The 21,831-nt window shown below is 40.3% G+C and overlaps 1 protein-coding gene across 9 annotated transcripts in view, besides 1 other annotated feature; it reads right to left on the bottom strand.

The window, feature by feature from the left end:
• The window catches only part of KMT2A (lysine methyltransferase 2A), a 90,341-nt gene that overhangs the window by 33,382 nt on the left and 35,128 nt on the right, over positions 1-21,831 (bottom strand). For 2 of the 9 annotated variants that reach the window (XM_011542829.3, NM_001197104.2), the window contains 14 exons: positions 19,136-21,789; positions 16,469-16,646; positions 15,250-15,484; positions 13,213-13,277; positions 11,359-11,736; positions 10,956-11,029; positions 9,137-9,268; positions 8,476-8,589; positions 4,691-4,837; positions 3,564-3,659; positions 3,202-3,322; positions 2,133-2,255; positions 1,523-1,707; positions 221-394 (listed from right to left, as the gene is read on the bottom strand). In XM_011542829.3, coding sequence (XP_011541131.1) covers positions 221-394; positions 1,523-1,707; positions 2,133-2,255; positions 3,202-3,322; positions 3,564-3,659; positions 4,691-4,837; positions 8,476-8,589; positions 9,137-9,268; positions 10,956-11,029; positions 11,359-11,736; positions 13,213-13,277; positions 15,250-15,484; positions 16,469-16,646; positions 19,136-21,789 — 4,676 coding nt within the window. The remainder of the gene's footprint in view (positions 1-220; positions 395-1,522; positions 1,708-2,132; positions 2,256-3,201; positions 3,323-3,563; positions 3,660-4,690; positions 4,838-8,475; positions 8,590-9,136; positions 9,269-10,955; positions 11,030-11,358; positions 11,737-13,212; positions 13,278-15,249; positions 15,485-16,468; positions 16,647-19,135; positions 21,790-21,831) is intronic. The other 7 variants (NM_001412597.1, NM_005933.4, XM_011542833.3 and 4 more) reach the window with 5 other exon arrangements.
• Positions 5,234-5,462: a silencer, noted in NCBI's record as "fragment chr11:118358704-118358932 (GRCh37/hg19 assembly coordinates)". NCBI's record gives its function as "represses an EF-1alpha promoter that drives an FKBP-Casp9 reporter gene in an ReSE screen in K562 erythroleukemia cells {active_cell/tissue: K562}" and the evidence as "EXISTENCE:reporter gene assay evidence [ECO:0000049][PMID:32094911]".

Below are 21,831 nucleotides of genomic sequence, written 5' to 3'. Positions count from 1 at the left end.
TAAAAGAACTATTTTAAGACATTATCTTCCCTATCACAACCCTTCTTCTGAAACACAAAGCTAAAATAACTCATACATTTTTAGGTATCTAAAGCCACGTGACATTTCTAAATATAATACAATTCATTTTTAAATTTACTTATACTCAGTTTCATGCCCCAAAGGTCCAAAGAAGCTTTATTGGCACTAGAAATTCTGATGGCTCACTGTAGAAACATACCACAGATGTGTAATTCCCTTGGTCCATCTTCCTCTTGACTCCTTCTAGATCTAAAGGCTGCTGATCATCCTGTTTGCTGACCTCAGTAAGAACTGGTGGATCAGGTCCTTCGGGGGAGCTGCGGGAAGGTATACTCTCCTCTGTCTCGGGATTTAAGTCTGGAGGCTTGGCAGCCTATTGCCAGGAAAGATATGTTGCTTTTATCTAACACTAAAACCAAGGTGTCCATGTAAATTCTATTAAAATTAATAAAGATGGTACTGAATGATTAATATTGTAAAACCCAAGGAACATGAAAATAATCAGATTTCTCAAATAGAAAAGGAAAGTTAAAAATGAGACTGTTATGTAATAGCTTAGCTAGGGTAACTTAGGAGCTTTTCTTGATAATTCCAAACCTAGTATGAAGAAGCTGAAATTGTGTTCAGTTCCTTTTAACATAGAAAGCAGCTAATTTTCCTATTCAAAAAATGGAGCTCTATTAAAAGATAAAACAGCAGCTTAGCTCTGAGGTAAAGTGATCCATGCGGTTCTTCTTCTTTTTTTTGTTTTGAGATGGACTCTCGCTCTGTCACCCAGGCTTGAGTGCAGTGGCGCGATCTCGGCTTACTGCAAGCTCCGCCGCCCAGGTTCACGCCATTCTCCTGCCTCAGCCTGCCGAGTAGCTGGGACTACAGGTGACCGCTACCATGCCTGGCTAATTTTTTGTATTTTTAGTAGAGACGGGGTTTCACCGTGTTAGCCAGGATGGTCTTGATCTCCTGACCTCGTGATCCGCCCGCCTCGGCCTCCCGAAGTGCTGGGATTACAGGCGTGAGCCACCGCGCCCGGCCCCGTGTGGTTCTTCTAATGACTACTTTATAAATGTGTAAAGTTCACAACTTACATAAACAGAAAGTGTTTTTCCAGTTGATTACTATAACTGTCCCCTAACTACGAATCCTGCCTCTAGGCTCAGGTGTCTCCAGTCCTTCCTCTCCACTCAGTCAGAACAATATTTTTTCTAAGAAGCAACTCTGATCAGGTTACTGTCTTGGGTGAAGTGCTTCACTGGCTCCCTATCACCTTCAGAGTATAAAGTCCAAATTTCTCATTGTAACAGCAAGACCTTTGAAGATACAGCTCCTTCCTATTTCTTACGCTAAAGAAGGTCCTATTCTTGGCTCTAAATATTTTCCTAATGGTTATAGCCAAAACAAGTAACTAAAAATTAAGTGAGGAGAATGAAGTAAAACAAAAGAAAAACACTAGGTAAAGACTACCTAAGAACAAGCTCTCAGAAAAAAATGAGACTTGGCCTACCTGCCGGTAGCGTAGCAAATGGCTGGTAGTCCGAGAATTCAACAAAGCTGTCAGAACTTGCTTCAGAGAAATCTGCAGCTCTTTTTCAAGGGCCAGTCGCCACTCTGCAGGGTGCCGCTCAGTACAGTTCACACAAGTGTAGGCCACACTTTCTGGCAGATTAGATAGAATCTCATACATCTCATCTAAGAAAACAAAAACCTACCATGATGAGGTCCTCTGAAGAATGAGAGAGAGGAAGAAGAGGAAACTATTCCACTGAACTTACTATAAAGCCATATGTTGGGAACCACATTAAGATTTTAATGTCCTCATGGATATGACACATATTGATCTCAAAAAGTGGCATTATTAATTAACACTAATCCTGAATTTGGTTATTGAGAATCAGGTTATGGAACACACAAAGGACAGCAAATAAATACTTTAAAGGCATATATTCAAGATAAGTGAGCACAAATAATACAATGCTGCTTATTCTAGAGACTAAAAAATAAATTTAGAGATTTCAAATAACAACACAACCATAATTTTAGGTTTAAAGTGCTCTAGAGGCTAATAAATGTAGTAGTACCTAGAAAGAAGAAAACTGAAATAAAAAGACTCCAACCTTCTGTACCTGAAAGATTCTCACATTTGGAATGGACCCAGCGATCACACTTTCCACATTGCATCATCTTACTCTCATAGTCATCATCATCATAACATTTGTCACAGAGAGGGCAGAAGTTTCCTGAAAGCAAAGCAAAGTTTACAGCAGTGCTTTGGCTCACATACCCGTGTTTTTACGGCCCTCGACTTGCATTTACCAACCCAATCTAAATCTATATTCTTCTGGGATCATGAACACCAGCATGGATCTACTGTGGAATGTTCACACATCTGCAGTCTCAAGATTATTCTGAGCCCCTCGAATACTCACAGAAAAGCTTCATATGCTACTAGTTTTCTTTAGTTTACTAGTTTTCATTTATAAAGGTCATGAGGTAGATTTTAAAGATAAAACAATAGAAAAGAATGGAAGAGAGAAGTTTCTCACACATTTGTAAGAAATATTTAAATATTTAAAAGAAGTGGCAATATGGAAGTCAGAAACAGTACATGTAAGCTTTTTCCTTATTTCTAGGGCATTTACATTAGAGCTTAGAGGAGCACTTCCTAAGATTCAGTACTCTGTATAACCTTCATAAATTTTCTTTATATACAGAGATCTCCTATATTATTTTTTACTTAATGAACTTCTTCAAACTGATCTGCTTATCTTACTTAAAACAGTGAACTTTATATGATTATCCTAAGTCAGTAATATAACAGGTTTAATGTATTAGTTATATTAATATTTTTTTCTAATATAACTACTGAAAGAAAATGTTTGGGTAGCAACTAAAATAATGTCTGAAATAATCAAATATATAATATATATATCACACTTTGGGAAATACTAGCTTAGAGGATTTCTTTGTGGTTAGTTATAATGAAAAGTCCCCTTAACACTTCCCGTATAAACTAACAAGACATTTCTAGTTGCTAAGTTCTAAACAGGAACTTAGGAAATGTGTCTAAATGGTATCCTTGACATAATGTGTGAGACTTTTTATTTCATTTCACTAGAGTCTAGTTCACCTCCAGAACACCAAGTACAACCTCCGAAAGCTGGCAAAACTGGCTTTTTTGGGTACCTTTAGCAAAGAGCTTGGCGCAATCATGACACAGTGAGAAATCATGAGACCACTGTGCATCCCACCCTTTGCCTGGAGTTGTGGATCCACAGCTCTTACAGCGAACACACTTGGTACAGATCTAGAAAAGAAGAAAAGAAATTCAATAGGAATTTCTTGTTTTTAATATCTTTACTTAACTAAAAAGATCTTAAATGCATCCATTTATAGATTTAATTTCTCTGCTGAGATGATTTCCTAGTAATGAGGCAAAAAGATTGTCATACTGACATCCTCAAGCATAGATATTTGTAATACAAGTTACATAAGTCCAATAGTCACATGGTGGTTCTCTATAAAAGAGCATCATGTGTATAACTCACCCAGACTTTCTTCTTCTTTGTGGGTTTGGTGGGGTAGTTTGGTCCCAGGCACTCAGGGTGATAGCTGTTTCGGCACTTATTACACTCCAGCAGCTGCTGTAAGAAAATATAATGGCAAAAAGATAAGCATCATATTACCTTCACCCAACACCTATTACTTAGTACCCCATTTCACATTTACTGGCAAGTAAGTACAGCACACAATTATGAGTTTAAATTTCCTCATACATTATTTACTCCCAATTAAAGCATTGAGATAGATTTATTTCCTGCCAAAGGCACTCAGTGATGAGTATTCATATTAGGTAGATTTGACTTATTTTTGGAATTTTATTCAACATCATGTTTTCTGCTATAGTCCCAAAATTAAAACACAAAATAGGCAACTGATTACACCCAATTAAATGCTAAAGACAGACTAAGTAAAAAGAGAAATAATATAGATACAAAATCTTAACTGGAAGACAGAAATACAAATCAAGAAAGAAAGCAATACTCTAAGCACAGTCATCCTTGGTTTCCATGGGGGATTGGTTCCAGGACCCCCAGAGGATACCAAAGTCCATGGATGCCCAAGTCCCTAGACAAAATGGTGCAGCATTTGCATATAACAAAATGCACATCCTCCCATATAGTTTTTTTTTTTTTTTTTTTTTGAGATGGAGTCTCACTGTGTCACCCAGGCTGGAGTGACAGACTGCACCACAGGCTGGAGTGGCTCACTGCAACCTCTGCCTCCAAAGTTCAAGCGATTTTCCTCCCTCAGCCTCCCAAGTAGCTGGGACTACAGGTGCCCACCACCACACCTGGCTAATTTTTTGTATTTTTAGTAGAGATGGGGTTTCACCATGTTGGCTCAGGCTGGTCTCGAACTCCTGGCTTCAAGTGATCCGCCCACCATATACTTTAAATTATCTCTAGATTACTTATCATACCTAATACAATGTAAATAGTTGTTATACTGTATTGTTTAGGAAATAATGACAAGAAAAAGTCTGTTCACATAGAGTACAGAGGCAACTACTCATTTTTTCCCAGATACATTCAATCCAAGGTTGGTTGAGTCCAGGGATACAGAACCCACTGATACAGAGGCCCAGCTGTAGTTCTATTACCAAGTTTTGTACCTTTGTAGCCTGATGTTGCCTTCCACAAACGTGACAGAATTTGCAACGACGACAACACCAATTTTCCAGCTGGTCCTCCAGAGGGCGCTCGTTCTCCTCTAAACAAAACTTGTGGAAGGGCTCACAACAGACTTGGCAATACACAAACTATAGTAAGAACATGGGAAGATAGAAGTATGTCAAATAATATGTAGAAAAACATAATCAACCATACCCTTCTTATATACTTTGGGTTTTAGTAGTCCACTGGCATATATTTAATTCAATACATATTCATTAAGCAATGACTATGTAAAAAAGTACAGTATTGGACACTGCGGGAGATTCAGAGTACTAAAGTGGTAATACCAGTGGAAATAGAAAGTAACAAAATAAATATAATACAAGATTTAACAGAACATGCTAAGTGACCTAAGAGTGGTATAAACAAAGAGCTATGGGAATATAAAGGAGTGGGGTGGGGGAAATAGGGAGGGTTTAAACGTTTTCTGTAATATACGAAACAGTTGTAAGGTCTGGTTTGTCCTTTCCATTTGTAATTTTATTTTTTTAATTGTTTTAATTTTTATTTATTTATTTTTTTGAGACGGAGTCTCGCTGTCGCCCAGGCTGGGGTGCAGTGGTGCGATCTCGACTCACTGCAACCTCCGCCTCCTGGGTTCAAGCGATTCTCCAGCCTCAGTCTCCTGAGTAGCTGGGATCACAGGCGCGTGCCACCACACCTGGCTAATTTTTTGTATTTTTAGTAGAGATGGGGTTTCACTGTGTTAGCGAGGATGGTCTCAATCTCCTGACCTTGTGATCTGCCTGCCTCGGCCTCCCAAAGTGCTGGGATTATAGGCGTGAGCCACCACGCCCAGCCTCCATTTCTAATTTTAGAAATAAGTTATTTTCATATTGATATAGGATTTTCAAAAATACTAACTAGGATAATCCAGAATTTTCTTTTGCCATAAAGGAATTATTGGGACAATTGGTCAAACCTAAATAAGGCCTATAGATCAGATAATAGTAATGTACCAGTGTGTTAATTTCCTGATTTGGTAATTATACCATGGTTAAATACGAGAACGTCCTTGATTTTTAAAAATATACACTAAAATATTTAGAGGTAAAATGGTTTATGTCTGCAACTTGTTCTCAAATTTTTAGATACATGTGTATCTACAGGTAAAATGTGTATATGTATTTTATTTGTTATTTTGTAAAATATATACACACAGAGAAACATATTAACACTTAGGGAATTTGGGTGAGGGGTACTTAGAATTCTCTGTACAACTCATAGTTTTTTTGTAAGTCTGAAATCATGTCAACATAAAAAGTTTAAAAAATTCGCATGGAGGAGAGTTTATCAAGCACTGGTCATGCTTTAGGAGTGCAGTGCAGGCAGCATGCTATTCTCTAATTTATATTTTAGGAACCCTGTGAGATTGCTATGTACAACTATAAAGAATTTAGATCAGAACAATTATACCCTGAAAAAAAATCTGTTTAATCCCAGAAGTTGAAGGACTGGTGCTATAAAAAAAGTTATTCCTGTGGGTGGCATATATATGGGTGCAAAGCACTGTATTAAGACGGAAAAGAGGATACAGTAGACCCCTGGCACTTGTAGACTGAATATTCTCAGTCTCAATGATATCTGAACTTCTGCACTTAGAACAATAAGTTGTTCGTAATAGGGACTAAGAGAATATTTGCTTAGTAAATGAATAGTAGGCAATAATTTGTAATTTTGCTAGTAATAACTTCAAATGGCAAGTGGGCAGGGTTGACTTTCTTAGCTAGTTTGTGTCTCACTGACTGCTCAACATTCAGATTTCAACCTAGCTTGGATTTTCTTATTTTTTAAATTTTTAAAAATTTTTTTGAGACAGGGTCTTGCTTAGTTGCCCAGGCTGGAGTGCAGTGGCGTGATAATGGCTCACTGCAGCCTCGATCTCCTGGGCTCAAGTGATCCTCTCACCTCAGCCTCCCAAGTAGCTGGGACTAGAGTAGCTGGGACTACAGGCACATGCTACCATGCCTGGTATTTTATTTTTTTTTTAGTAGAGATGAGGTCTCACTATGGTGCTCAGGCTGGTCTTGAACTCCTGAGCTCAAGCGGTCCTCCTGCGTCAGCCTCCCAAAGTACTGGGATTACAGGCGTGAGCCACTGCACCCGACGTGGATTTTCTTTACCACCTTTGAATACATATCTTATGTGGTAAGTAATAAGCCAAAGAGGTATCTGCCAGGAATTTAAGAACTGTAAAGGATGTAGGATATGTCCCTTATAAATGACAAACTACTGCTTCCTATTTAAAATTGTGCTACTTTTTCCTTCCTCATTGTAAAGGTGGTACATACTGCAAAAAACTCAGAAAGATTAAAAAAAAAAAACCAGAGAAACAAATAAAGGTCACCCATAATCCAACCACACTCTTAATATTTTGGTGTGAATCCTTCCAGATTGTTTTCTAGATATATACTTTAAAAACACTTTTCCAAACTAAGATGGGATTGTGCTTTATATATTATCTTGTAACCTGCTCTTTTCACTCAGTGATATGTCATGGACATCTTTCCATGTTATTACTGCAATTACTTTTGCACCAACCTAATAATATTAATATATATTATCTTTAGGACTTCATATTTGCCATTATATATGCCCTACACTTTTATTTTTTTTTGAGACGGAGTCTTGCTCTGTCGCCCAGGCGGGAGTGCAGTGGGGCGATCTCGGCTCACTGCAAGCTCCACCTCCCGGGTTCATGCCGTTCTCCTGCCTCAGCCTCTCGAGTAGCTGGGACTACAGGCGCCCGCCACCACACCCGGCTAATTTTTTTGTATTTTTAATAGAGACGGGGTTTCACTGTGTTAGCCAGGATGGTCTGGATCTCCTGACCTTGTGATCCGCCTGCCTTGGCCTCCCAAAGTGCTGGGATTACAGGCGTGAGCCACCGTGCCCAGCTATATGCCCTATGCTTATTTTAACCCATGCTCCCTATAGATGGACTTTCGGGTTGTTTCCAGTTTTTTATTATTATGAGCAATATTGAAATGAACACTTCTTTATATCTACAGATTTGCCAATTTATCTAATTATATCCATAAGTGTTTGAAGTGCAATTGCTATGTTAGAGGATATACCTATTTTAAAGATAGATATATATTTCCAAATAATTCCCTCAGAAAGAAAGATTGTAACTAATCTATATTTCTTTCCACCAACAGAAAGTCCCCATTTATTCAGGATTCTTTTTTTATCATGCTTTAATTTCCAGTTTTTGGTCACTAGAGGGCTAAAAAACAGACACCCTCCCTTCACCTCCCCCTGCCACCCAACATGTATTTATTTCTAATTTTGTGAATTATCTATTTCTGTCTTTTGCCTATTTTTTTTTCTGGATGTCATTCCTTTTTCTTATTAATTGGTAAGAGCTCCTTATAGATGAAGAGGCTTTGATATACAATATAAAATAACCATCAATAGCATCCCTTTTAATAGACCACTGTATAATTTTTTCTCTTATTTAGACATCTAACAGAAAGATCAGAACTCTAATAAAGACTGAATTTAAGAGAGATGGGATTATTGATCTTTTCACTCTCAATAACTTTGCTACTCTAATAGCAGATTCCTTCCTAAAATCTCTAAAATACTTCAAAACATTTCTTTAGCTGGTTTAAACAGGGAATAGTACCTGCTAAATACCAACAAAACAGACTATAGTAATTTCATCCACAGAAAAATAATTTATGTACTTCCTGGGGTACAAAGAAGCAGGATGCCTTACCTCTACATGCCCACTACTGGCACAGAGAAAGCAAACCACCCTGGGTGTTATAGGAACAGAAGTCAAGATTCCTAAGCCTCCCATCTCCCACACATTTTCTGCTTCACAATCCTCCTGTGGAGAGAGAAAGGTCACTTAGGAAAGTTTTACAATTACACAACTTTGGATGGAAAATAAGGATGAAAAGCATAAAATTAGTGTGACATCACAATGTCAGAGTATTTCATTTCAATGAGTCCAAAAATAACTGCTGCTTTAAAAAGTTTTAATCTCAGACACGGACTATTAAAAGGCTCACCTAGTTGTTCAATTCATATTGAATATATTGCGAAAATACACTGGGATTGAATTTCTCTTACAGTTTTGCTGACTCAAGGAATCATCATGGTTTGATACTTTCCATGTGAAGGAATTACTTCCTCTGATACTGCTCAGGATGGATAGGAATGTTTCATTATGTATGTTCTGCAGTCAGTTCACAAACAGTGACCTAACAACACTGACCAAAGCTCTCCCAGCGCTAAACCCACCTGCTAATGGGAGTTCTTATTCATTCCCCCAGTTGGTGCTGATTTCCTCTTTCAACACCTTTGGTAGTAGCATTTTCTTTATTTAAAGTCTTTGACACTCAATATACTTTATGATCACTGAACACCTTTACCTTAAAGTCCACTCTGATCCTGTGGACTCCATCTGCTGGAATTTTTTGCTTAGAACTATTGCCATTGGAGAGAGTGCTGAGGATGTTCAAAGTGCCTGCATTCTCCTGCTTATTGACCGGAGGTGGTTTTTCCTAAGGAGACAAAAGATGAATATAGAACAAAATCACACCCTATTTGCCTTCACATTTGCAACAGATAATAATGCAAATGACAAATTTTATTAATAGATCTAAAAAACATGTTTCCAACATAAACAAATAATCTTTGAATTTTTTTTTAAAAGAGACTGGGTCTTGCTTTGTTGCCTAGGCTGCAATACAGTGGCACAGTCACAGCTCACTGCAGCCTAGACCTTGTGGGCTCGTGATCCTCCTGCCTCAGCTTCTCAAGAGTAGCTGGGACTACAGGTGCATGCCACCATGCCTAGTTGATTTTTAAATTTTTTATAGCAACTGTGTGTCACTGTGCTGCCCAGGCTGGTCTCCAGCTCCTGCCCTCAAGTGATCCTCCCGCCTTGGCCCCCCAAAGTGCTGGGATTATAGATGTGAGCCACCACACTATCTCTTTATCCATAATAAATAAAAATAGTGAATACAGGGAAGGGTGATTTTTACAGACAAATAATTGCTAAAGGATGTTGGGGTCAAAAAATAATTACGCCAAATGGCCTTTAGAATAAGCAGATTCCTAGGCTAGAACATGTGGGGCCACAAAGAAGGGAAAAGCAACAAGGAAGAAACCAAAAAAGAAACAGGCTAAAGCCTAAACTTTTTATTTTTTTTTGAGACGGAGTCTCGGTGTCACCCAAGCTGGAGTGCAGTGGCGCGATCTCGGCTCACTGCAGGCTCCGCCCCCCGGGTTCACGCCATTCTCCTGCCTCACTCTCCTGAGTAGCTGGGACTACAGGCGCCCGCCACCTCGCCGGGCTAATTTTTTTGTATTTTTAGTAGAGACAGGGTTTCACCGTGTTAGCCAGGATGGTCTCGATCTCCTGCCCTCATGATCCGCCCGCCTCGGCCTCCCAAAGTGCTGGGATTACAGGCGTGAGCCACCGTGCCCGGCTACTTTTTTTTTTTTTTTTGGGATGGAGTCTAGCTCTGTTGTCCAGGCTAGAGTGCAATGATGCAATCTCGGCTCACTGCAGCCTCCGCCTCGCAGGTTCAGGCAATTCCCCTGCCTCAGCCTCCCAAGTAGCTAGGATTACAAGCACCCACTACCACAACCGGCTAATTTTTGTATTTTCAGTAGAGACAGGGTTTCACCATGTTGGCCAGGCTGGTCTCCAACTCCTGACCTCAAGTGATCTGCCTGCTTCGGCTTCCCAAAGTGCTGGGATCACAGGCGTGAGCCGCTGCGCCTTGCCAAGCCTAAATTTTTTTTGGAGACAGTGTTTTGCTTTGTCACCCAGGCTGGACTGCAGTGGTACAATCATAGCTCACTACAGCCTTGAATTCCTGGGCTCAAGACAATCCTTCTATCTCAGCCTCCTGAGTACCTGGGACTACACGCAACTGCCACCATGCCTGGCTAACTTCTTCTTCTTCTTCTTTTTTTTTTTTTTGTTTAAATAAAGACAGGGTCTTGCTATGTTGCCCAGGCTGGTCTTGAACTGCTGGCCTCAAGCAATCCTCCCACCTCAGCCTCACTAAGTGTTGGGATTACCAGCGTGAGCCACCGTGCCCAGCTAAAAGCCTAAACTTGAAGTTTCTTAATTTTAAGAAATTCCACTGCCATCTACATAGAAGTCAAGGATAAGGCTTTTCCCTACAAAATAGAATACATCCCTGAGAAATGGCAGAGAAACAAATCTCTCCTCACCTTTTCTTTTGGTTTTTGTTTTACAGGGATACTTGGGCGGGGAGCCACTTTTTTCTGTTTGCTCTGCTCTGGACCTAAAAAATTCAGAATAAATTGCAGTCAGATGCTGGCAACGACTACTTTAGTACTGACTGACCTGTGAAGAAAGGGCCATTAGAAAAAAAAAAAAAAAACTATTTAAACTCTAGGCTTCGAACAGGAAATTAAAACAATACCTCCAATTTAACTGTTTTTTTTGTTTCTGTTTCTTTATTATTAAACATAATAGTTAGAAAGAGAGCTGATTTTCTTGAACTGAAGACTTCAAATCATACATTTCCTGCTTTCAAATGCTGTTTGAGACATCAGTGCTTTTTTGTTAGTACTTGTGGTTCAGCAATTCCTTCTTGCCCTCCTCACTCACCTGATTCTGGTGGTGGAGGCTGCTTTTTCTTGGGCTCACTAGGAGTGGTTTTGGGAACTTCTTTTCTTGGCGGTCCTGTAGTAGGTGGCTGAGGCGGGATGACCAGTGCTGGCTGGGAGACCTGCTTGCTTGACTTCCTGGAAGCTGGAGTGGTGGCCTGTTTGGATTCAGGCCCAGGGGCCGAGACATTCCCTTCTTCACTCTTTTCCTCGACGGGCTTTCGTGGAGGAGGCTCACTACTGCTTTTCTTTGGGGCAGGATCCTCTCTTGCTGATGGGGTAGGTTTCTGACTAGAGTCCACCACGTTCTTCACAACACTGCTCTCTTTGCTGTCTTTCTTTTCACTGGTCTTAGACTTTTTCTCTTTCTTTTTCACAGCTGAGGGAAAAACACAACAACATCATCTGTCTATAGTGAGAATAATTTTATTTAAAATAGAATTACAGAGCCACCATATGATCCAGCAATCCCACAGCTAGGTATATACCAAAATAAAGGAAATCAGTATATCAAAGAGATATCTGCACTCTCATGTTTCCTGCAGCACTATTTATGATAGCCAAGATTTGAAAGTAATCTAAGCATCCATCAACAGATGAATGGATAAAGAAAATGTGGTACATATCCACAATGGAGTACTATTCAGCCATAAAAAAGAACGAGATCCTATCATCTGAAACAACATGGATGGAACTAGAGGACATTATGTTAAGTGAAATAAGCCAGACACAGAGAGACAAACATCACATGCTCTCACTCATTTGTGGGAGCTAAAAATTAAAACAATTGAACTTATGGAGATAGAGACAGAGAGAATGATAGTTATGAGAGGCTGGGAAGGGTAGTGAGGTTGAGGGGGAAAGTGGGGATGGTTAATGGGTACAAAAATATAGCTAGATAGAAGTGAATGAGATCTAGTATTTGATAGTACAACAGGGTGATTACAGTCAACAATAATTTACTGTACCCTTAAAAATAATTACAAGAGTATAATTAGTTTGTTTGTAACACAAAGAATAAATGCTTGAGGTAATGGACATCCCATGTACCCTGATGTGATTATTACCCATTGTATGCCTGTATCAACATATCTCATGTACCCCCATAAATATATACACCTGCTGGCCAGGTGCAGTGGTGGCTCATGCCTGTAATTCCAGCACATTGGGAGGCCAAGGCGAGAGGATTGCTTGAGCCCAGGAGTTCAAGACCAGCCTGGGCAACATGGCAAAATCGTGTCTCTGCAAAAAAAATTTACAAAAATTAGCTGGGCGTGGTGGTGCGCACCTGTAGTCCCAGCTACTAGGGAGGCTGAGGTGGGAGGATGGCTTGAGCGTGGGAGGTTGAAGCTACAGTGAGTCATAATCATGCTACTGCACCCCAGCCTGAAAGACAGAGTGAGACTCTGTCTCAATAAACAAATAAATAAATACACCTGCCATGTATCCACAAAAATTAAAAATAAGTTAAAAAAATACATTTAAAAAATAGAAGCGTAGAAATGTGACACAACATTCTCAGTTTCCTGCAGTTAAAAGTTAGCATTGAAAGGCTAAAGAAAGTTAATGCCAAGTTGATCAGGTGAAATAGGTATACTTTATTGCTCTAGGAAATATAATGAACTATGATTTTTATATAAATTTAAAAAATTTATTATGGAAAATTTCAAAAATATCCCCCAATACAGGAAATAGTCCAATCAACCCCCATGTACCTATTACCTAGCTTCAACAATCTACTCCCTGAGAAAGAGTTGTACTTTAAAAAAAAAAGTATTCTCTTCTACTGGGTGTATACAACTATACACCATTTAAGCAAGGAGCATTTGGGGGAAGACCTTTTTAACAACACTACCTTTAGCTTGCTTCTGCAGGTAGGCTTTGGAAGGCATCCATTGTAGATTCTGACATTTTCTCATCCTAGGAAAACAACGAATAAACCATGAAACAAATTAAATTTAGAAGAAAAGCACTGAAACAAGTGTTCATTTTGTCTGCAACAATCAGTGAATCTGTATTCAGGTTCACATTTTTATAGTTGAAAAAAGGACTGCTCATTACTCAGATTAAATCTGAGCCTTTGAATCCCTGGATCAGCAATTTCACCTACCTTTAGGATCTAAAAGGAGCAAATATCAAATTATTTTTGAAATGGGACTCAAATTTCTTGTAATCCAACACTGACTAGCACCACACAGAAAATGATCAGTCAGTATTTCTTGTAGTCGCATCAGTCCTACTCTCTTACGATGTTAATATCCATCAAGTAATCTTAACACAAAACAGACTAAAATTATCAAACAACTCCTTTGTCTACCACTATAATGCTATAATTAAATCTGGTGGCTTTGATATATACTTCACCCCTAAATTTAGATTTAATAAAATTCAAATGTAATCTGAAGTCTACAATTGCACTGAATCCACTTTAACTCTTAAATTTAATGCAACTTTATCTTGCTATCATGTACTTTTTTGTGATCTGTGAATTAGTTTACTTCTTTCCACTAACAGGACTGAGACAAGATTCTTGTTTAAGGTCAGACCAAACCAAAGCACAGAACTACTTCTTGTCTCCTAGAAATTATCTCCCCTGAAGTAAATAATGTAGCATTTCTCCCAACTGTTCTTTATATTAATCACTTGCATGTGACTCACTCATTCAGCAAATATCTATTGACACCTATTATTTGTGCCAGTAGTTTACAAGATGCTTAATCACCAAAATTTCTGTTTATGCTACTATCTCGATCTATTTTAAATAAAGTATGCCAGATGGCAGAAAGTACCTCCACAAACTGACTAAAAAAGAGGAGAAAAAGTAGAGTAATAAAAATTTCCACATAAAAAATTCCATATTAGGGGATGGCTAATGGGTACAAAAAAATAATCAGAAAGAATGAATAAGACTTAGCATTTGATAGCACAACAGGGTGATTGTAGTAAATAATAATTTAATTGTACATTTAAAAATGACTGAAAGAGTATAATTGGATTGTTTGTAATACAAAGGATAAATGCTTAAGGGAATGGATACCCCACTCTGCATGATATGATTATGATGCATTGCATGCCTGTATCAAAACATCTTATGTATACCATAAATATATATACCTACTATGTACCCATAAAAATTAAAACAAAACTTCTTAAAAAAAGAAATTTCATATGAGGCCAAGCACTGTGGCTCATGTTTGTAATCCCAGTACTTTGGGAGGCCAAGGCAGGAGGATCACTGGAGCCTAGGAGTTCAGTGTTGGCAGTGAGCTATGATCATGTCACTGCACTCCAGCCTGGCAACAGAGCAAGACCCTGTCTCTTAAAAAAAAAAATTCCATATGCATGAACATATTCTAAGAGAGAGTGAGAAAGCACAGATATTTATGCAAGGTATCTCCAATGTTTCCTGAATTGTCATAATTTTGTTGGGTCAACATAATTTCAGTAGACCCAACAAAAATTATACATAAAGTTGTCAGGTTTTAAGTAGAAATCCTCCAGAGCTACAGTCTGATATGGTAGCCACTAGTTACACATGGCTAAAGTTAAACGAAATAAACAGTGTGGTTCCTCAGTCACACTAATCACATGTCAAGCGCTCAATAGCCACATGTGGCTAATGGCTGCATACTGAACTAAACATTTCCATTATTGTTGTCTACTATTCCAATAGAACATTTCCATTGTTGCAGAACATTCTATTAATGACAGCATGGCCCCAGAGTATTTCTTATTTAAGCACAGCCCACACCACAAAATCTAACTGTAACAAGTCTTGCAACTCAATTACAACCACATTCAGTTTCCTGATGTATCTCTGCAACAAACTAGGGATAAATAAGCAACCTTTATGGTTGAGAGGTCAACATCTCAGAGTGAAACACCCACTTACTTGCAGCACTGCTTCTTTATATTGCGACCACCAAACTTGGGCTTATCTAAGCAATTAGTACAAACACCACAGTCCTCAGGCACCTGGCAGCCGGGACACTGCCCACACCGCCTCGATCGACGTCCTTTCTTTACTGGAGGTTCCTGGGGTGCCTTGTTTCTAGTGACAGGTTTAATTGGTTTGATGGGTGGAGCAAGAGGTTCAGCATCTTCTGAGCCAGCAATTGATGACTTGTCTGTTAAAGAAATGTGGCATTAGTTCCAAGGGAGTACTGAATTCAAACCTGGTTTTAATTGGTACTCCAAAAATGAAATACATTAAAATAAAATATTTATATACAGAACTCAGAATCTATTTTAAATAATTATTTAAATGTTTAAAAATGCCAATAACTTGGCCAGGAATGGTGGCTCATGCCTGTAATCCTAGCACTTTGGGAGGCTGAGCCAGGCAGATCACCTGAGGTCAGGGGTTTGAGACCAGCCTGGCCAACATAGCAAAACCCCTCTCTACTAAAAATACAAAAATTAGCCAGGCATGGTGGCACATGCCTGTAATCCTAGATACTCAGGAGGCTGAGGCAGGAGAATCGCTTGAACCTGGGAAGTGGAGGCTGTAGTGAGCCGAGATCGCACCACTGTACTCCAGCTTGGGCAACACAATGAGGCTCCGTCTCAAAAAAAAAAAAAAAAAAAAAAAAAAAGCCAATAACTTGCATCTTGATGAAAGCAAAATTCCAAATACTGAAAACAAAAGTCTAATCTAAAATCGAGAATAGAAACCAAATGCTTCTAAGGATTCTTCAAACCTCTAAATTTGTTCTGAGTGGCTACTCTGCACTTAAGAACTATATGACAGCCATGAGAATGTGCCTCCCACTCCCCTGACAGTCCACTTTTACTCAAAGACTCCTGGACAGCTTTGCCAAATCTTTCTCACCTGCACAGCAGTCTAGGAAGATTCTGCCTTCCTTCCCCTGCTCCTTCATGGGGGTGAGATGGGCAACACAGTCTGACAGCTCTCCCAGCCTTCCCTGGCTACCTCCCCGTTTTCCTTCTCAGGCATTTCTTCTAATAAAATCCTCATGTATTTAATCCCCTCTTGCCATCTGTTTTTCAGAGGACCTACTAACTATGAAGAGCCTACTGGGCATCCCCAGAATAATCAACAAACAAATCAAAAGTCTGTTCCGACTCCAAGATTGACCTTCTTGACCTACCATCATTCCCCATGGAAGACAAAATCTTTTCTCGTTCTTCCCATGGTAAGGCACTCAGGGTGGGCATGTCATCAGGAAACACAGCTCGTTTTCGGCCAAGGGCAACAGCTGCTCTTCTGCAGACATGTTTAATCCGGGGTCCTCGCACAGAGGTCTCTGATGAGTCACTTTCTTGACCCTGAATATGAGGCAATCCAAAAACAATAACAACCATACATGTTGAAATTATAACTGAACGAAGCCAAGGTATACTTAATCAATTTCAGTATGATTTAGAATCAAAACACACAACTCTAATTATTCCCAGCTGATAAATCATATCAAAACAGAAATCAACTATTACTGTATCCTAATTGGCAGCACAAAAAAAGGCCTCTAATCAAAAAATAAAAAACAGCTTGAGGTGGGAAGATCATTTGAGGCCAGGAGTTCAAGACCAGTATGGGCAACATAGCGAGAACCCATCTCTACACAAAATTTAAAAATTGGCTGGGCGTGGTGGTACACACCTGTAGTTCTAGCTACTCAGGAGGCTGGGACAAGAGGATCACTTGAGCCACCCTGGGTGACAGAGTGAGACCCTATCTTAAAAACAAACAAACAACTAAGCTTCTATTCCCAATTATACTACTATTTTAAATTCCCCTCAAAATTCAAGCTGCCAGTCTATATTATCAAAAAGTTCAGTGTGGTATAAATACGGCTTATCTAACCAAAAACTATTTCTTATATTTCCTTGATCATCAGAGAAGTAGGGGTGAAATAACTTATAAATGAAAGTATAGGTGGTGGCTCACGCCTGCAACTCCCAGCACTTTGGGAGGCCGAGGCGGGTAGATCACCTGAGGTCGGGAGTTTGAGACCAGCCTGACCAACATGGAGAAACCCTGTCTCTACTAAAAATACAAAATTAGCTGGGCGTGGTGGTGCATGCCCGTAATCCCAGCTACTTGGGAGGCTGAGGCAGGAGAATTGCTTGAACCTGGGAGGCGGACGTTGCAGTGAGCCAAGATCACGCCATTGCACTCCAGCCTGGGCAACAAGAGCGAAATTCCGTCTCAAAAAAAAGAGAAAGTATAAAAGGCTCCAAAAGAAATGTCTCAGATTTTAAAGAGCCGCTGCTCCTATCACAAAAACATCCAACATGGTGTTAAAAATAAGTCCCATCACATTCCTGCTACAATTCTCAACTGGCAGAATTAGTAAATGTAACTATGGCCCTAGGTTGAATAACATTAATTTTATTTATTTATTTTTTTAGAGACGGAGTCTCGCCCTGTCACCCAGGCTGGAGTGTAGTGCCGTGATCTCGGCTCACTGCAACCTCCGCCTCCCGGGTTCAAGCGATTCTCCTGCCTCAGCCTCCCGAGTAGCTAGGACTACAGGCGCATGCCACCATGTCTGGCTAATTTTTTGGATTTTTAGTAGAGACAGGGTTTCACCGTGTTAGCCAGGATGGTCTCGATCTCCTGACCTCGTGATCCACCTGCCTCGGCCTCCCAAAGTGCTGGGATTACAGGCGTAAGCCACCGTACCCAGCCCGTGAATAACATTACAAATATAAGTTTATGGCCATCTTAACCTAACCTGATTTGCTGCCATAAATAGGCATCTACTACATGACGATTTTTTTAAAACCCTAAAGATCAGCAACTTTTCTCAGAAAAGGCCAGTGACTAGCTTACTTTGTTAAACAAATAAACAAAACAATAAAAAAAAAACAAAAATGCTGGTCTTTGTAAAAATATTTGGCATCATCTTAACTAACTGAATTCTATAGCTTTCCTGTTCCATGGCTCAAGGCTAAGTGCTTCTAATCTGTTTGTTTATTTATTTATTTATTTATTTTGAGATAGAGACTTACTCTATTGGCCCAGGCTGGAGTGCAGTGGCGGGATCTCAGCTCACTGCCATCTCTACCTCCGGGGTTCAAGAGATTCTTGTGCCTCAATCTCCCCAGTAGCTGGGACTAGAGGCATGCATCACCACGCCCAGCTAATTTTTTTTTTTTTTTTAGTAGAGATGAGGTTTCACCGTGTTGGCCAGGCCAGGCTGGTCTCAAACTCCTGACCTCAAGTGATCCGCCCACCTTGGCCTCCCAAAGTGATGGGATTACAGGCATGAGCCATCGCACCTGGCCAGTACTTCTCATTTGTATTCTGCAAAAACATATTATCTATTGCTCCAATCCCTCACTACTCAGAGGAAGAGAATGCTCCCCTCCGGTTTTCTATTCTATCGGGGATAGTAAAACAATTTGACTATTAAAATGTACCTTTACAATTAAGTCCCTGGTTTAATTACATCAAACTTATAAGGTACAAACAACTCAGCATCCTCTGTGATATAGTCCCAACCTTAGTTCATTCAGCCTTAGTTCACCAGTTTTCCACAGATGCCAATCCAGCTATCCAGTATTCCTCAAATATATTTCTTACTTTTCCATTTCTACCCACACTGTTCCCTCTACTTAGAATGTTATGTCCTGCCACTTTCTACCTATCAAAATCCTACTGGTCCTTGAAGGACTACTGCAAATACCACTGCCTCCACCATACTTTTCTTGGTTCTCATAACTGGATGTAATTGAACCACTTAGCCTAAAACTTGCCCATAGAAAGGGCTCAATAAACTGTTAGTTTTAATAGGCAAGGTGGAAAAGAGTACCTGTGCTTTGGGCTGGTCGGTTTGTTTAAGACTCTTACTCTTCTCAATCTTGCAGAGCTGAGCTTTGGCCTTTTTTAGGAGGCTGGCAACCCTCTTGTCAGTCATTGGAAGCTTGTCTGCCTGAGCCAACATGGAGCCTATGGAGGAAGTGGAATGTTTAACAGTGCTAGATGAAGGAGTGGAAAGGCAGAGGGTTTTCTCCTTCTCCAGGGATGGGGCAGTTGGGCCGAGGTCCAAGTTGGTTTTTTCCAGATTTCCTCTCCCTTTCTTTATAAGTATTTTGGTTTTGACAGCTGTTGTATCCCCAAGAGTCACAGAAGTAATATCAGTCCCAGAATCATGTGATGAAGACTTCTTCCGCCCTGTTGCTTTTTTGGCAGAAGATGAAGTGGCAACATCTTCACCAACAACCTTCTCTTTGGAAACCCTACCCACAGGATACAAAGCAGAACTACTCTGAATTTCTGATCCCTTTTTCCTTTTCTCTTTCCTTGACTCCCGCTTATTCTCCTTTTCTCTCTCCCGGTCTCTCTCTCTACTCTTGTCCTTCTCCACGCTCTTGTCAGCATCTCGATCTTTGGACAGCTCCTCGGGGGCCTTGTCTTTATTTCTCCCTCTTTCAGTCTGAGAGCCTGGGGTAAACCAAGGGAAGAGAGGAGTAGGACTACTTGATGAAAATGGCTCTGCCGGAGCACTAGTCTGCTTCCTTGGTCTCTGATTTTTCTCTGCAGATTCCCCAGACTGAGTCAGGGAATGAGAAGGAAAAGTAAAAGTTGGGTTTAAGGCACTAGTGGCAAGAGGACTAACAGAAATGCTTAACGAGGAAGAGACAGAAGACGGGGGGGTGAGAGGTGAGAGCTCAGAACTACTAAGCCTTCCACTTCTTGTCCTCATGGAGTGAGAAGGAGATCTTGGTTCAGATCGAATAGGACTAAACACTTTTCTTTTCCTTTTTCTATTGGATACTCCTGAAGAAGATGTTCCAGCAGAAGTTCGATTACTAGGCAAGGTTACAGACTCAAATATTCTAGAGTGAGCCTCACTTGGAGTAAATCTTGGAGCTCTCAGAAGAGGGCTCCTTTTGTGCATATCAAACCTTGTTCCAGAATGGAGTGGCGAAAACAATCGGGCTGAAGCAGCGGTACCAGATGCAGAAAAACCAGATGCAAAGCCAACGTCCTCGGGAGTTAGTGGAGGGGGTCGGAAATTATCAAATATTGGTTTGCGAATAAGACCTTCTTTGGCATACTTTGCTGAGGAAAAGTATTGTGGCTCTGACCTAGAATGCTTTAAAGAAGTCCACCTAAATGTCGGTTCTCGCAAAATAGATTTTCGCTTCCCTTGCATAGGAGCAGTGGAAGCAGGCAAAAATGGTGATGCTAAGGGGATTGTTGGAGGCATAAGCCAAGGTGTGTGGTCAGAGATACTGGAGGCTGGCTGCAGTGGTGGCGGTGGAGTCAGCAGAGGTGGAGGTGGAGACGAGGAGGTCTGCTGCTGGGGGGCACTTTGTAGAGTTGATAATTTTTTCGTCGTTCTAGATCCAAAACTTCTCTCCGACACTGAATACCTTCTGCTTCTCCTATCATTACTCTCATTTTCTGGGGACTGGGAAATGGGCAGTGGAGGATGAACTTCAGGGGTATCGCTCCGCTCCTCAGGAAGTACCTGAATCTCCTCAGAAGCCTGAGAGTCTGTGGAGGTATCAACACTGGGGCTACTAGATCGAGAGGAGTCTGAAGACATTTGAGAGGAGTGCTGAGAAGCTGCACTTGATTTTTCAGAAGATCCACAGGACGGGGCACTGAATCTACTATTCGGTGTAGACTCTAATCGGGCAATTTTAATTGGAGGGTCATAATCCTCATCCTCTATAAACCGCCGAGGGGTCTTAATGATCCGCGAGGAGATAGCACTGACAACAGGCATGATGAACTGTCGAATATTTTTGACCTGTGTCTTCACCTTTCTTCCCTGCAGCTGAGCTGCTTCTTTTTCAATTTTCTTTTGAGCCCCCTTTTTTGCCCTCTGTAAGAGTTGCTTAGCAATGGTTGCATCTGTCCTTTTTGAAGAAGGAATAATCCTAACTGGCTTAATCCTTCGAGGGCTTTGTCTGACAACTGTCTTATCTTCTTTTGTAAGTGGAGGTGTTCCTTCCTTGTCTTTCCGGACTTTCTGGGGCTTTTCCAGTTCAGAATTAATGAGGAGACCCGAAGGGGTCTTTATCCTTTCTGTTGATGGAGGCCTTCCTCTCCGTCGTACAATTTGTACCCCCTTCCTTCCTATTTGAAGCTTCCCTGTCTTAAACTTAGACTTGAGAGGAGAGAGTTTACCTGCTCTTAATTTTTTAATCTTTGTGGCTTGCTGAAACGTAGCAGAAGGTGTCCTTTTAATTTTTTTCAGGCTATCTTCTTTGTTTCCCTTTGGTAACTCTGAAATGTCCTTTCCATGTGTTATTTTGATTTTTACTCCAGGGAAGGTGGGAGGTCTTCCTCTCTTCTTTTCTATACTTTTAGAATCTTTCTTCTTGATCTTATCTCCAGATTTGGTCTCTGATTTATTTAGAGGGGAAAACACAGATGGATCTGAGAGGATAGCTGAATTTCGGTCAGAGCCACTTCTAGGTCTCCCACGAGGTTTTCGAGGACTAGTTTTAACTGTGTATAGAAATTAAACAATGAAGAGCATATATTTAGCTG

This window comes from Homo sapiens, chromosome 11 (genome assembly GCF_000001405.40).
Source record: "Homo sapiens chromosome 11, GRCh38.p14 Primary Assembly".
NCBI classification, from domain to species: Eukaryota; Metazoa; Chordata; class Mammalia; order Primates; family Hominidae; genus Homo; species Homo sapiens.
Note: the sequence above shows the minus strand (reverse complement) of the source record. Positions and strands in the feature narration are given on the sequence as shown.